Source organism: Homo sapiens, chromosome 6, assembly GCF_000001405.40.
Source record: "Homo sapiens chromosome 6, GRCh38.p14 Primary Assembly".
Classification (NCBI taxonomy): domain Eukaryota; kingdom Metazoa; phylum Chordata; class Mammalia; order Primates; family Hominidae; genus Homo; species Homo sapiens.
Window position 1 is genome coordinate 71,429,874 of NC_000006.12, and position 16,939 is coordinate 71,446,812.

The following is a 16,939-nucleotide window of genomic DNA, read 5'->3' on the forward strand; positions in this document are numbered from 1 at the left end:
TATTCTCCCAAGAAATAAATGAAAACACAAAATGTACTTATTACAATGTTTTATGTGCCCTTCAGAATCTCGAGCTATTAGAAAGGCAGTTCTGGGAAATGATGCAAATACACAGGGTGATGTCCTTCTCCCCATCATCCCAGTGTGAAACTTGTGGTCTCTTAGGAAGATTCCGGGGTAGGAAAACAACAGAAAGGTAGGCAGCAGTTTGTATTGTGTTAACCCCATAACCCTGAAGCATTTTTTCAGGGCATTTTAAAATATGCTTTGTGTTGGTTAGTGCATGAATTTCAATGAAGGTCATTGCATCTTTTTCTTTTTTCCTCCCTAGAAAGGGCATTAACATGATTGCTTGTAAATAAGAATGAAGACTACTAACTAATGTACACCCATTTGTCTCATATTACTCCTTTATTACTCTTTCCCTCAAAAAACAGAGTAAGTTTTCATGAGGGATGAAAAGGCATTACATGGTTGTATTTCGTTTTAGTTTTTAATTAAACGTGCTTAAAGAGCCACAGAATTGTCTTTGGCAGGTTAGATGAAGACATGCTGGGGACTAAGTTATTTTTTGCTGTCAGAGGCTTTCTTTTTAGTATATGGTAGATTTGATTCTGTGAGGTTAATCAGAAAGGCATAAATCTCCTTCTGTAAATACTCATATGTTTTAGTTGGTACAGGGAACAGGAGGGAAAGAGGATTACAGGTTACTTTGTAAATGTTCTATACTTCTTTATATTTGTATAGTTATTTTGCTAATAATAATTTCCTTCTAGTCATAAAAGTGATATCTGTTCACTACTTAAAACATGGAAAATTCAGGAAAATATTTTTAAAAATCTCCAGACACCACCACTGACAACACAGGTCAACTTCCTTCTAATCCTTCTATAAAACAGGGCTCACTATATGCTTGATTCTACCTTCTGGCTCTACCATATTGTGATCATTTACACATTCCATCAAACTTCTTCCAAATCAAGGTTTTAATTTTTGTTTGTTTTTTGAGACGGAGTCTTGCTCTGTCGCCCAGGCTGGAGTGCAGTGGTGCGATCTCGGCTCACTGCAACCTGTGCCTCCCAAGTTGAAGCGATTCTCCCGCCTCAGCCTCCTGAGTAGCTGGGATTACAGGTGCCCACCACCGCACCCAGCTTTTTTTTTTTTAATAATGGCTGCAGTATGTGTTTTAAATGGCTGCACCAAACTCAGTTCTATAAGTGATTCTGTTTTTTTTCTCCTCTATAACACCTAGAGACATATGATGTTCACAAGCCAATGAGTTCTGATGCACACATTGATAATAAAGGCTATGGTTTATGCAAATTTTCCTCCTTGGGGATTTGCCATTGCTCTGTCCCTTTCCTTCATACTCATAAAATGCATTATAATATGAGTAAGAGTAACATTACAGAGATAACCTTGACTCTACCCTAATTTATTAAATAATGTTCAAAGTTTGGTACCTTTACTATGAGTAGTAACAAATTTCTTGTGACACACCTCACAATTGACTTTGGTATTATGTGACATCTCAGATGACTAACACTAAATTCAACTAAATGCAGTTGTCATGAAGCAATAAATGTCCCTGCTATCAAATATTCTGTAACTGTTTCCTTTTGATAACTGTCTAAAAGTAGAGCTACTGAATTGAAAGACATTAATTCTTAATATAGATTGCTAAACTTGCTTTCTAGAAAAGTCGTTCTGATTTCTAACCTCACATTCAACAATACTGGGTGTTGGAATTAAGTTTCGCTGATTTGGTAAGTAAAAAATATAGTCTTTAAAACAAGAGTATTTGAAATCGAGTAATTTAATCTTTCTCCTCTTGTTTAGTTTTCTTTTCTTCCTTACCTTTCCCTCTTTCCTCCCTTCCTATGTTTCTCCCTCCTTCTCTCCTTCCATCCCTCCCTTCCTCTCTTTTTTCTTCTATGACATATCTATTCATATTCTTTGCCAACTTTTCTATTTAGGTTTTAAGATTTACATGAGCTCTTTATATATTAGCTATATTAAACTTTTTGTCATAAATCTGTGTCAATTATTTTCCTCAGTGGTGTGCTTTTAAAACAATATTTACTTTTTCCTCATGACAGAGATTTCATTTCAGTTTTCCATACTCTTTCTTGTTGTAGGGAAAATTCAAGTTGTATTCTCCATAGTAAAATGTATGCTATTTCGGGGGACATTTATTTTAATGCCTTTATAATTAGAAAGCACTTTCCCATCCTGAGACCTGATAAGTATCCACCTTTTTTTTCCAGGAGTGTGTGTGTGTGTGTGTGTGTGTGTGCTTTCAGGTTTTTTTCTTTTTTTCTTGTGTGTGTGTGCTTGCTTCATACATGGTCTTACTCTGCAGCCCAGGCTGGAGTGCAGTGGCATGATCATGGCTCACTGCAGCCTTGATCTCTCCTGGGTTCAAGGGATCCTCCCACCTCAGCCTCTGGAGTAGCTAGGACTACAGGCACATGCCACCAAACCTGGCTAATGTTCTGTATTTTTTGTAGAGATAGGTTCCCACTATGTAGCCCAGGATGGTCTGGAACTCCGGGCTCAAGCCATCCTCCCACCTTGGCCTCTCAACGTGCTGGGATTATAGACATGAGACACTGTGCCCGGCCTCAGTTTGTAACATTAAAATATTTCATCATTCTACAGTTTGTTTTGTTTTTATAGCATAAAGGGAGGAATTATTTATTTCAATTTGTTAAATAATTATCTCACACCACCAATGATTGTCTTTTATGGCTTTACTCATTTGTGATGCCAACTTTATCTCATATAGAATCTTTTATTGTCATTCTTTTTTTTTTAAATTAGAAAAAATTTTTTAAAAACTTTTTTTTTAGTGACAGGTTCTCACTCTGTCACCCAAGCTGAAGTGAAGCAGCACAATCACAGTTCAGTGCAGCCTCCATCTCCCCGGGCTCAGGGGTCCTACTGTGTCAGCCCTCTGAGTAGCTGGGACTATGGGAGTGTGCCACCCTTCCTGGCATTGTTTTGTTTTTTAATCTACTAGAATTGGCTTGTGGTCTATCCATTCTCTACCATCGTTATATCTATTTTCCCATTCCACTGGGACAGGCTTCCCCTATTTAGCTTTCAATCTTTTTTTTCTCTCTCTCTCATTTATTCCTCTGATAAACTTTAGAATTGCTTTGAAAATATACTCTCTATCACAGTCACATTCTAAGAATTTATATTGGGATTTTCATGGATTACATTAATCTTATTTTCTTCCCATTTAGCCACAGATTTTTTTTTCGTGAAAGTATTTTTATTCCTTTTACAAGCTCTTACAGTTTTCATTGTATTGGTCACACACAATTCCTTTAAAGATTATACTTGTAATTGTGTATCGTGATATTGTGCTTATTGTTGTGAGTGGGATATCTTCATCATATTTTGACTGTCTATTATTATTAGCAATAGGATTGATTTTGTATTTTTTTCACCCTGGATCACTTAACTGAACTATGCTATTAAATCCAAAACTTTCTTCAATGATTTCCTCATATCTATTTCCCTAGGTTTTGCTTTTGTTTTTGTTTTAACTAGAAAATTATTTACTATCCAATTACCATGTTTGAGGGATACTTGGTATAGCTATGGACCCTGTCCAGCAGGGAGATTTGACTGAGAAAATCCTATTCCATTCTACTAAGAATTGTCTATAGATGTTATTATGAAGGGAAAAGGTTTGTACTTAGGCCTATTCCCTCAATAAGTACACTAGACCACACATGTGTTTCCATTTTTTTGTTTGTTTTGGCTACCACTTCTAGAATGATGGAAATGATGGTAGTAATAGTAGATATTCTTGACTTGTTTATGATACTTTTAGAGTAGCATTGTTAAGCCATATGATGTTAACTGTATGTTAATGATAAACACATATTCTTTATGATGTACATGAAATAACATTTTATTCTGAGCTTATTCAGCAAGTTTTAAAATCCAAGAGTTTATTAAATTTTATCAAATTATTTTGCAGATCAATTGAGATGTTTATATATTTACTTTGCAACCTACTGGTGTGATATATTCATTAGGGTTTATATGCATGAATTCTTTAGAGCAATCCTTAAATATTTAGGCTAAATTATTATTTTAATATGCCTGAGTTAAATATGTAAATCTTTTATTCATACTTTTGCATCTGTACTAATTATTTTTAGGTTTTACTGTGAGGGTGATCCTAGCTTTGTGAAGTGAGTTGGAATGTTTCCTATTGTTTTTCTATGTACAAGAAGAGTGTACCTCGTAGTGATGGATTTGTTTCTTGAAAACTGAAAAGCGCTTATTGATTTAAAAAAAACCTCTGCTCTGCAGCTGTCTTGAATTTAGTTATTGAAAACTTTTTCAGTTTCAATTCTTCAGTATATAGTTGTCTATTTAGGTTTGGTAGACAACTTTCTACCCCATTATCTTTGAATCTTTATTACTAAGATTTTCAAATTTGTTAAACTGATGAATTTGTGCTAATACTTTTTAAGTAACATTTTAAAATAATCTTTAAATGTGTTATTAAATCCTTTTAAGACTGTAAATTCTTATTTCTAATTTTATTTGTTTACTTTTTTCTCTTGATTAAATCTGCTAGGACTTTTGTACTACGGTTTGTTCGTGTCCTTTTTGTTGTTGTTGTTGTTTTTGTTTTTGGGACAGAGTCTCACTCTGTGCCCAGGCTGGAGTGCTAATATTTTGTATTTTTAGTAGAGACAAGGTTTCATCATGTTGGTCTCAAACTCCCGGCCTCAAGTGATCTGCCCACCTCAGCCTCCCAAAGTGTCAGGATTACGGTGTGAACCACAGCACCTGGCCTGTTCTTGTTCTTTAGGAATTTAGTACTGTAGTTTATTCGTCAACTTTACTATTTTTCTATTTTCTCATGCATTGATTTATATATTTATTTTTGATATTTTCTTCCTCTTGTTTAGATTCTTTCATTGTTCTGTCTTAACTTCTTGAATTGCAGTTGAGTTGAATTTTTTTAAAATTCTCTTTTAGTTAGAACAAAAACCATTTTAGGCCACATACAGTATTTGCCTTTGAACATATTCCATAAGGTTTGATAAATAATGGTCCTATTTTCATTATTTTAAAACAAGTTTGTAATTTTACCTTGGGTTTTTCTCTCCCATATAGCTATTTAGGAAGGCATTTGGTAACTTCCAACGTGTTGGGATTTTTGATTGCTTAAACTTTAAAAAATATATAGTTTGATTGCATTATGGTCTGAGAATACAGCTCCCTACAATTTCTGATTTGGAAACTTTTGAACATTTTCTTTGTGGCAGTAGTTGTTAAGTTGTTATAAAAAGTTATTATATTCATCTTGAAAATAAGATACATGTATTTTTTAGTTCTTGGAATAGATGTCAGTATATCTGTAGATTCATCTTTACAAATTATAAATTTTAACCAAATATCTGTTTATCCAGCGCCAAGAGAGATGTGTCACTGTCACCCATAAGAAGGTACTTTCCTTTCACATTTCTAACATTTCTAACATCCTTGATTTATGTATGTTGATATTATACTAATCAGCTTATAAAGTTGAATAACTATTATATTTTCCTTGTGAAGCATATTTGTATTAATATATAATGACCCTCTTGGTTATCATTAATATCTTTTGCCTTTGTGTCTTTTCTGAAATTAGTATTTCCTGTTTTCTTTTGTGAATGTCTGACGTATATTTGCTCATTCTTTTATTTTTAACTTGTGCATATCATTTTGTCTTAGAGTGGCTTTCTAACTATCATGTAGTTCAATGTTTTTAACCTGGATTTGAAGTATTTTTAATTATTCACAATTGTTACTATAACTAATATATTTACTCATATTTCTTTTCTCTGGGCTTGTGATTTTTCTCATGCTTTCTTAGTTATATTGCATATGGCTTATAAGCTTTTATACTTTCTAGTATTTAGTTGTATTAAAGATTACCTTTGGGTTTTTCAAAATTGTGCTTTAATTTATATTTTCTAATGATTAGGATTATAAAAGAAAAGAGATTTTGTCTCCTTTCAGACAAAATGAGGAAGTTAGCTGTTTCCTTCTCTGCTTTGTCTTTCTTCACTTATGTGTTTCTCTTAATCTACAATTTTAGACCCAGATAATGTCATTAAATTATTTTTTACTTTCCATGTCTCCCTTCTGTTTCATAACCATATTAGCAATAGTTATTGAGATTTACCTTTCTGTTTACTGGTTTTGATTACTTCCTCTGCTTGAAGTCTTCATTAGGATTCATTGCTTGCTTCACAGTACAACTTTAATATTGTCAAAAACCATACTTGGCTAGTTTGTTTTCCAAGCTCTTGGAAACCCAGGGATATAACTCTCTTTCCTTCATACCTGAGGGTCAAATTCTCTGAGAACACAATTCTTCAGACTTTTACCCTCACAATTTTTTCCCTAAGACATGTTGCTGTGTTGTTTTCTATAATTTTGTTTGTGGAGAATAAAGTCTTATAAATAGCATGTGTTTCAATTTTATCAGAAATTATTAATTTTTTCTTTCTTGGATGCTTAAAATAAGTTTTTTAAATAATTAACTTCAAGAGAAGAAGGAGGATCATGGCAGATGGGAGGCAGGACTAGATTGCAGCTCCCACTCGGACGGACAGAGCAGCATGTGGAGTCTCTCATCGTGAACTCTTGCTGCAGAACGACTGTAGGAATAAATCAAGAAAGCCGAAGAGAACTCACAGACCCTCAGAAGGAAGCAGATTGCTCCTGAAGATCCCAGAAGACACCTCAAATACTGTGCTGGTATCCGTTGCTGAGAGACTCACAAGCGGTTCACATCACAGGACTCTGTGCAGAAAACCCCTGGTACCAGCCCAGAGCCAGGTAAACTTGCTGGGTGGCTAGATCCAGAAGAGAGGTAACAATCACTACAGCTCAGCTCTCAGGAAACCACATCCATAGGAAAAGGGGGAGAGTACTACATCAAGGGAACACCCCGTGGGACAAAAGAATCTGAATAACAGCCTTGAGCCCTAGACCTTCCCTCTGACACAGCCTACCCAAATGAGAAGGAACCAGAAACCAACTCTGGTAGTATAACACAACAAGGTTCCTGAACACCCCTGCAAAATCACACTAGCTCACCAGCAATGGATCCAAGCCAAGAAGAAATCCCTGATTTACCTGTAAAAGAATTCAGGAAGTCAGTTATTAAGCTAATCAAGGAGACACCAGAGAACGGCAAAGCCCAATTTAAGGAAATTTTTAAAATGACATAGGATAAGGAGAGAAATTTTCAATGAAATAGATAGCATAAATCAAAAATCAAAAACAATCAAAACTTTGGGAAACAATGGACGCACTTAGAGAAATGCAAAATGCTCTGGAAAGTCTCTGCAGCAGAATCGAACAAGCAGAAGAAAGAACTTCAGAGCTCGAAGACAAGGTTTTCAAAATAACCCAATCCAACAAAGACAAAGAAAAAAAGAATAAGAAAATATGAACAAAACCTCCAAGAAGTCTGGGATTATGTCAAATGACCAAACCTAAGAATAATCAGCATTCCTGAGGAAGAAGAGAAATTTAAAAGTTTGGAAAATATTTTTGGGGGAATAATGGAGGAAAACTTCCCTGGGCTTGCTAGAGACCTAGACATCCAAATACAAGAAGCTCAAACAACACCTGGGAAATTCATCTCAAAAAGATAATCACCTAGGCACATTGTCATCATGTTCTCTCAAGTTAAGATGAAGGAAAGAATCTTAAGAGCTGTGAGGCAAAAGCACCAAGTAACCTATAAAGGAAAGCCTATCAGATTAACAGCAGATTTCTCAGCAGAAACCTTACAAGCTAGAAGGGATTGGGGCCCTTTCTTTAGCCTCCTTAAACAAAACAACTATTAGCCAAGAATTTTGTATCCAGTGAAACTAAGCTTCATAAATGAAGGAAAGATATAGTCTTTTTCAGGCAAACAAATGCTGAGAGAATTCACCACTACCAAGCCAGGACTACAAGAACTGCTAAAAGGAGCCCTAAATCTTGAAACAAATCCTGGAAACACATCAAAACAGAACCTCTTTAAAGCATAACTCTTGCAGGACCTATGAAAAAATACAATAAAAAATAAAAACAAAAAACCAAGGCATACAGGCAAGAAATAACACAATGAATGGAATGGTACCTGACATCTCAATACTAACGTTGAATGTAAATGGCCTATAGGCTCCACTTAAAAAATAGGGAATTGCAAAATGGATAATAATTCACCAACCATCTATCTGCTGTCTTCAAGAGACTCACCTAACACATAAGGACTCACATAAACTTAAGGTAAAGGGGTGAAAAAAGACATTCCATGCAAATGGACACAAAAGCAAGCAGGAGTAGCTATTCTTATATCAGATGAAACAAACTTTAAAGCAACAGCAGTTAAAAAGACAAAGAGGGACATTATATAATGATAAAGGGCCTTGTCTAACAGGAAAATATAAAAATCCTAAATATACTATGCACCTAATACTGGAGCTCCCAAACTTATAAAACAATTACTAAGAAATGAGATAGGCAGCAACACAATAATACTGGGGGACTTCAATACTTCACTAACAGCATTCGACAGGTCACCAAGACAGAAAATCAACAAAGAAATAATGGATTTAAATTATACCCTGGAACAAATGGACTTAATGGATATTTACAGAACATTCTATCCAAAAACCACAGAATATACATTCTATTCATCAGCACATAGAACTTTCTCCAAGAGAGATCATATGATAGGACACAAATAAGCCGCAAAAATTTTAAGAAAATTGAAATTATATCAAGTACATTCTCAGACCACAGTGGAATAAAACTGGAAATCAACTCCAAAAGGAATCTTCAAAACTATGCAAATATATGGAAATTAAATAACCTGCTTCTGAATGATCATTGGGTCAACAATGAAATCAAGTTAAAAATTAAAAAATTCTTCAAACTGAATGACCATAGTGACACAACCTATCAAAACCTCTGGGATACAGCAAAGACAGTGCTAAGAGGAAAGTTCATAGCCCTAAATGCCTACACAGGAAAGTCTGAAAGAGCACAGACAGACAATCTAAGGTCATACCTCAAGGAACTAGGGAAACAAGAACAAACCAAATCCAAATCCAGCAGAAGAAAGGAAATAACCAAGATCAGAGCAGAACTAAATGAAATTGAAATGAAAAAATAATATAAAAGATAAGTGAAACAAAAAGCTGGTTCTTGGAAAAGATAAATAAAATTGATAGACCATTAGCAAGGTTAACCAAGAAAAGAAGACAGAAAATCCAAATAAGCCCAACTAGAAACAAAACAGGAGATACTGCAACTGACACTTCAGAAATACAAAAGATCATTCAAGGTTACTATAAACACCTTTATGTGCATAAACTAGAAAACCAAGAGGAGATGGATAAATTCCTGGAATGATACAACCCTCCTAGCTTAAATCAGGAAGAATTAGATATCCTGAACAGACCAATAACAAGTAGTGAGGTTGAAATGGTAATAAAAAAAATTACCCACAAAAAAAAGTCCAGGACCAGATGAATTCACAGAAGAATTCTACCAGACATTCAAAGAAGAATTGGTACCAATCCTATTGACACTATTCCACAAGATAGAGAAAGAGGGAATCCTCCTTAATTCATTCTATGAAGCCAGTATCACCCTAATGCAAAAACCACGAAGGGACATAATCAAAAAAAGAAAACTACAGGCCAATATCCCTGATGAACCTAGGTGCAAAAATCCTTAACAAAAAATACTAGCTAACTGAATCCAACAACATATCAAAAAGATAATCCATCATGATCAAGTAGGTTTCACACCAGGGATGCAGGGATGGTTTAACATACACATGTCAATAAATGTGATACACCACATAAACAGAATTAAAAACAAAAATCATATGATCATCTCAACAGACTCAGAAAAAGCATTTGACAAAATCCAGCATCGCTTTATGATTAAAACTCTCAGCAAAATCAGCATACAAGGGACATACATCAATGTAATAAAAGCCATCTGTGACAAACTCACAGCCAACATTATACTGAATGGGGAAAAGTTGAAAGCATTCCCTCTGAGAACTGAAATGAGACAAGGATGTCCACGCTTATCACTTCTTTTCAACATAGTACTAGAAGTTCTAGCCAAAGCAATTAGACAAGAGAAAGAAATAAAGGACATCCAAATTGCTAAAGAGGAAGTCAGACTGTCACTGTTTGCTGATGATATGATTGTTTACCTTGAAAACCCTAAAGACTCCTTCAGAAAGCTCCTAGAACTGATAAAAGAATTCAGCAAAGTTTCTGGATACAAGATTAAGGTACACAAATGAATAGCTCTCCTATACACCAACAGCAACCAAGCAGAGAATCAAATCAAGAACTCAACCCCTTTTACAATAGCTGCAAAAAAATATATAATACTTACGAATATACCTAACCAAGGAGGTGAAAGACCTCTACAAGGAAAACTATAAAACACTGCTGAAAGAAAACATAAATGACACAAATGGAAATGCATCCCATGCTCATGAATGGATAGAATCAATATTGTGAAAATGACCATACTGCTGTGTCCGGAGTTGGTTCCTTCCAGTGGATTTGTGGTCTCGCTGATGTCAAGAATGAAGCTGCAGACCTTCGCAGTGAGTGTTACAGCTCTTAAAGCTGGCACAGACCCAAAGGGTGAGCAGCAGCAAGATTTATTGCAGAGAGTGAAAGAACAAAGCTTTCACAGGTGGAAGGGGACCTGAGCAGGGTGCTGCTGTTGGCTGGGTTGGCCAGCTTTGATTCCCTTATTTGTCCCTGCCCATGTCCTGCTGATTGGTCCATTTTACAGAGTGTTGATTGGTCCATTTTACAGAGTGCTGATTGGTCCATTTTACAGAGTGCTGATTGGTCCGTTTTACAAACCTCTAGCTAGCCACAGAGTGCTGATTGGTGCATTTTACAATCCTCTTGTAAGACAGAAAAGTTCTCCAAGTCCCCACTCAGCCCAGGGAGTCCAGCTGGCTTCACCTCTCACTGCCAAAAGCAATCTACACATTTCATGGAATTCCCATCAAAATATCACCATCATTCTTCACAGAACTAGAAAAAACAATTTTAAAATTCATATGGAACCAAAAAAGAGCCTGCATAGCTGAAGAAAGACTAAACAAAAAGAACAAATCTGGAGGCATCACACTACCTGATTTCAAACTACACTATAAGGCCATAGTCACCCAAACTGCATGGTACTGGTATAAAAATAGGCACATAGACCATTGGAACAGAACAGAGAATCCAGAAATAAACTCAAATACTTACAGCCAGCTGATCTTTGACAAAGCAAACAAAAACATGAAGTGGGGAAAGGACACCCTATTCAACAAATGGTGCTGGGATAATTGGTAAGCCACATGTAGGAGAATGAAACTGGATCCTCATCTCTCACCTTATATAAAAATCAATTCAAGATGGATTAAGGATTTAAATCTAGGACCTGAAAGTCTACAATTTCTAGAAGATAACATCAGAAAAACCCTTCTAGACATTGGCTTAGGCAAGCATTTCATGACCAACAATCCAAAAGCAAATGCAACAAAAACAAAAATAAATAGCTGGGACTGAATTAAACTAAAGAGCTTTTGCACAGCAAAAGGAACAGTCAGCAGAGTAAACAGACAACCCACAGAGTGGGAGAAAATCTTCACAATCTATATATCTGATAAAGGATTAATATCCAGAATCTACAACAAACTCAAACAAATCACCAAGAAAAAAACAATATCATCAAAAAGTGGGCTAAGGACATGAATAGACAATTCTCAAAAGAAGATATTCAAATGGCCAAGAAACATATGAAAAAATGCTCAACATCACTAATGATCAGGGAAATGCAAATCAAAACCACAATGCAATAATAGCACCTTACTCCTGCAAGAATGGCCATAATAAAAAAATCAAAAAATAATAGATGTTGGCGTGGATGCGGTGAACAGGGAGTACTTCTACACTGCTGATAGGAATGTAAACTAGTACAACCATTATGTAAAACAGTGAGGAAATTCCTTAAAGAACTAAAAGTAGAACTACCCCATTTAATCCAGCAATCCCATTACTGTGTATCTACCCAGAGGAAAAGAAGTGATTATACAGAGAAGGTACTTGCACATTCATGTTTATAGCAGCACAATTCACGATTGCAAAACTGTGGAACCAACCCAAATGCCCATCAATCCGTGAGTGAATAAACTGTGGTTATAAATATATGATGGAATACTAACTCATCCATAAAAAGGAATGAATTAATGGCATTCACAGCAACCTGATTGAGATTGGAGAGTATATTATATATATATATTTTTTTATTATTTATTATTTATTTTTTTTTTTGAGATGGAGTCTTGCTCTGTCACCCAGGCTGGAGTGAAGTGGTGCAATCTCAGCTCACTACAACCTCCACCTCCCTGGTTCAAGCAATTCTCCTGCCTCAGCCTCCCGAGCAGCTGGGATTACAGCTGTATGCCAACAGGCCTGCCTAATTTTTTTTGTATTTTTAGCAGAGATGGGGTTTCACCATGTTGGCCAGGCTGGTCTCAAACTCCTGACCTCAGGCAATCCACTTGCCTTGGCCTCCCAAAGTGCTGGGATTATAGGTGTGCACCACCGTGACCGGTCTGGTGAGTGTTATTCCAAGTGAAGTAACTCAGGAATGGAAAACCAAACACTATATGTTCTCACTCATAAGTGGGAGCTAAGCTATAAGGATGCAAAAGTATAAGAAGGACACAATGGAGTTTGGAGACTCAGGGGGAAAGTGTGGGAAGGGAGTGAGGGATAAAAGACTACACATTGGGTACAGTGTATACTGCTAGTGTGATGGGCCCGCCACAATTTCACAAGTCACCACTCAAGAACTTACGTAATGAAATACCACCTATTCCCCCAATAACCTATGGAAATAAAAAATTTTAAAAAATTAACTTTATTTTTTAACAGAACATAACTCAAGGTAGTTGTATTTTATTTCTTTCCCATTGATTTCTGCCCTTAATATAATGAACATTTTTTATCTTACTTCTCGGGTCCTTTAATGGTGTTATTTATGTACACTTTCTTTTTCCATCTGGGACATTTTTCATCATCGCATCTATTCAAATTGCTTATGTTTCTTTTTCTTGAGATTATCTGTAACTCTTAGGTTGAGCTTTGGTTCTTCATCTTCCGTGACTACCATCTTCTTTCTGAGGATATTTCCATCTTTTTCATTTTACTCTGCTTTCTGGGGAAACTACTCAGGCATGTCCTTAAAATTCCCGATTTGATTTTCCACAGTGCAAATTCTGGGACATATTGCTTTTCTTATGAATTTAATTCAACTATTGAATATTTTAACTGTTCAAAAATGCGCTCATTTATCTACTACTTTATTGATGAACACTGGGGTTGTTATGAGACTTTTTGCTATTACAAATTGCTATAAACACACATGTATAACTCCTGGTGCACTTAAACAAGAGTATCTCTAGGGGTTCTTGTCTGAGTGGAATTTCTGAGTTTTACAAGTACATTTTTAATGTACTAGTACGTCTTTTTTTAAATCACTCATGTCTCTTTTACTCTTACCTCACTTTCATTTCTTTTATTCTCTTTATAAATTTCTGCCCCTATTTCATAGAGAAAATACTTTCTTGCATGCTATAAACGATGATGAACATCATCTGAAGTAGTTAAAGCAACTTTAACAGGTGTGTTTTTAATATAGGAGTTGAGAATTGTGTTCCTTTTCCCTTTTCTTTCAGTTGTACTATTTTCAGTTCATTGTGGGTTTTGATTCTTCTGTTTCTATTCACATTCATATAACCATATTTTTAATGCAAATGTTATATGTCAGTACATCTCAGCACCATGATTTTTCCACTGGGAGTACTGATAGGCTAATATGCCAGCTCTTAGCCCAATTAACGCCGTATGTTCTAATTGACAGTTCTACTGCTTATGATGAAGTTTTCTTCCTAATCCTCAAATCCTGACTTTCTGTCCAGCTGGGAAGTTGTAGTACATGAAAAAGTAAAATTCCTAGCATTTTCCTCTTTCTGCCCAATTGTTCGATATTCCTGGAGGTTTCTCTCAAATCCTGGCACAGGTTTGGCTGACAGTCTTAGTTTCCTTTCCTTGTATTTTCATCTTTTTCTTTAACTTTAAACAAATTTAGGTGAGAAGTTGGGAAAAGCTTCACAGACACTGCTATTTGGGTTTTTCCTTAAAACCAGACCCTTCGTATATTTTAAAAGGATCCTTTCAAGCCAGAGAGACTTGCTTGTTGCCCTGATATCGTTAATTCTGGAGGGCACTTTGGAATTTTGTATCCATATTACTCAATTATACAATCAATGAGGAAAATGAATAATTCAAAGATTTGATCATCACTCACATACTGGTGTTTTTTTTTTTTTTTTTTCCAGCTTGGTGCTTCCTGCTGACCTACTTCCTTACAAAATAACACAACAATCAGCTGGTCATGCAGATCTTATTGAAACTAAGAAAGAGTGCCATCTGTCGTTGTGTATGATATGTTCTTCAGTATCAATCTTAGATTGCGTTGTGGTACTCAAAGCATTTCGCAGTTTCATTTTATTTTAATATTTTTTAATATCTTAGCTTCACTGTAAAGAAAACTTAAACCATTTCGATCTTAAAGATGATCAACATGAGACAAAAAGCAATGGCATTGTGTTATAATCAAACAGAAAGCCACTCCAAAAATCAACACTGTAATCCAAGTCCCATGATTTCTAGGCTGATGCTTTTCCCTTTTTCTTAGCACCTGAGCACTATTCCCTTTTATAACCAGTATTTATAACCATTTGTGAAGTGCATCTCTGACCAGTGCAGCTCCCTCTGAGATGTCTGCTCTCTCTGCAAAGCATACCTTTGCAAGTGTTCCTTGAGGAGTAGTCAGGGGAAAGAGTTACATGTTCAGCCAAGGGTGACACTCTCATATTTATTGTTTTAAGAATAATCAATATTATTGATTACATATTTTTATTTGATAAGTGAGCAAGTATTTTAATGATCTTTTAGATATCTTTTTTATGATTAGAGAAGTATTACTTGTTTTCATGCAGTGTAGGCTAGCTTGTCCAGAAAAATAGAAAGAGAGTTTAATGGAGACCTGTCATCTTCGAGAAAAAATATGCAAAAATATTTGACTCTCTATTACATTTCTAAAAGTTTTAGTTTTTTTTGAGTAATTTATACTTGGGAGAGATACATGTATCTTTAGTATCTTTAGTAGTTTGTGGCACGTAGATAGACTTTATTAACAAAAGGTATTTATTCCTTCCTATTGAGAAATAGAGATCTAGACAAATATGGGGATAACTTTAGCAAACTTATCCTTGGTAGAAGAAACAGTTCTCAGTTCATATGAGATAAATTAGCGGACACTTTCTCAAAAGAATGAATACAATAATACTAAGAGAAACAACAAACAACTAACTTTTTTTTTTTTTTTTTTTTTTGAGACGGAGTCTTGCTCTGTCACCCAGGCTGGAGTGCAGTGGTGTGATCTGGGCTGACTGCTACCTCCGCCTCTTGGGTTCATGCAATTCTCCTGCCTCAGCCTCCTGAGTAGTTGGGATTACAGGCATGCGCCACCATGCCCAGCTAATTTTTGTATCTTTAGTAAAGATGGGGGTTTCACCATGTTGGCCAAGATGGTCTCGATCTCTTTACCTCGTGATCCGCCCGCCTTAGCCTCCCAAAGTGCTGGGATTACAGACGTGAGCCCCTGCGCCTGGCCACAACTCACATTTTTTGTGTGCTTGCTACATGTCAGGTTTTTTTCTACATAAATTGTAACTTATTTAATCCTCAGTACCCCAAATGAGGTAGCGAAAATTATCTTCATTTTACAGATGAGAAAAATGATGATAAGAAACCTTCCCAAGATCTCACAGCAAGTGTCTTGTGGAGCCAGAAATCACACACAGGCAGTCTAACATCAGGGCCTACACAATACCCATCATGCCATCCTCCCTGCAAACAGTGAGCCAAGAGATTTTTCAATCCTGTTTTGTAAACAAGCTGTTAACTTTAGCCAACTTATCCTTGGTAGATGAAACAGTGCTTATTTCATATGAGAGAAATTAACAGACACTTTCTCAAAAGAAAAAAAAATACAATGAAAAGGAATAGTGCTAAAGAGGACATGCTAATGAAGATTAACCGAAAGGATGTGTCTCTTTGACACATCTTTCCACATTCTTCCATTTGTTTGACTCCATTGGGATTTGCCCAGTCCCCAGTGTAACTTTTGCTTCTTTGGCTTACTCAGCAGCCTTCAAAATGGGAAACATGAAAAGAAGCACAAGTGTCCGGGCAGCCAGCTGGCAGAGGGAAATTCCAGTCATATTGTGCATCCCCTTGTGAACTTTTTGTTTCAGTTGTTCTTTGGCACACACAAGTCAAAATCTCAGCTGGCTATCTGCTTCTTGGGGGATGACAACTACACAATATTTGAAATGTCTAAACACAGCTAACCAGATCTGGTCTTTATCTGATCAAGCTCTAGTGTTTGAAAAAATTATATGCCAACGTGTGGGTCATAGGTTGTTGAGAACTAGTTACAAGAGAATAGGAAAGAACAATCTCTTTATTCTGTGGCTTTGGGTTGCCAGTAGATTAAAGGCTGAGAAACAAGCCCCAAACATAGCTCTATTGTATCATAACCATACTCAGAACTGCTCTGTGGCTCTGCAGGGCCTAGAGCATAAAGCCGAGGCATGTCACTTGGCATTTGAGTGTTCGTGGTCTGCTGATAGGCTCCATCTAGTATCATCCCTTGCACATGCTGGGCTGGTATTCAGAGGCTACTAACTGCTGCAGCTCTGCTGTTGGCTGCACACACATGCAGTCTCATTCAATGCTTATGC

General features: G+C 36.1%; 1 long non-coding RNA gene across 1 annotated transcript in view; it reads left to right on the top strand.

Moving 5' to 3' along the window:
* The window catches only part of LINC01626 (long intergenic non-protein coding RNA 1626), a 37,846-nt gene that overhangs the window by 8,847 nt on the left and 12,060 nt on the right, over positions 1 to 16,939 (top strand). Inside the window, exons 2-4 of the long non-coding RNA NR_121615.1 lie at positions 66 to 196; positions 1,698 to 1,766; positions 5,448 to 5,483. This is a non-coding gene — a long non-coding RNA (long intergenic non-protein coding RNA 1626). The remainder of the gene's footprint in view (positions 1 to 65; positions 197 to 1,697; positions 1,767 to 5,447; positions 5,484 to 16,939) is intronic.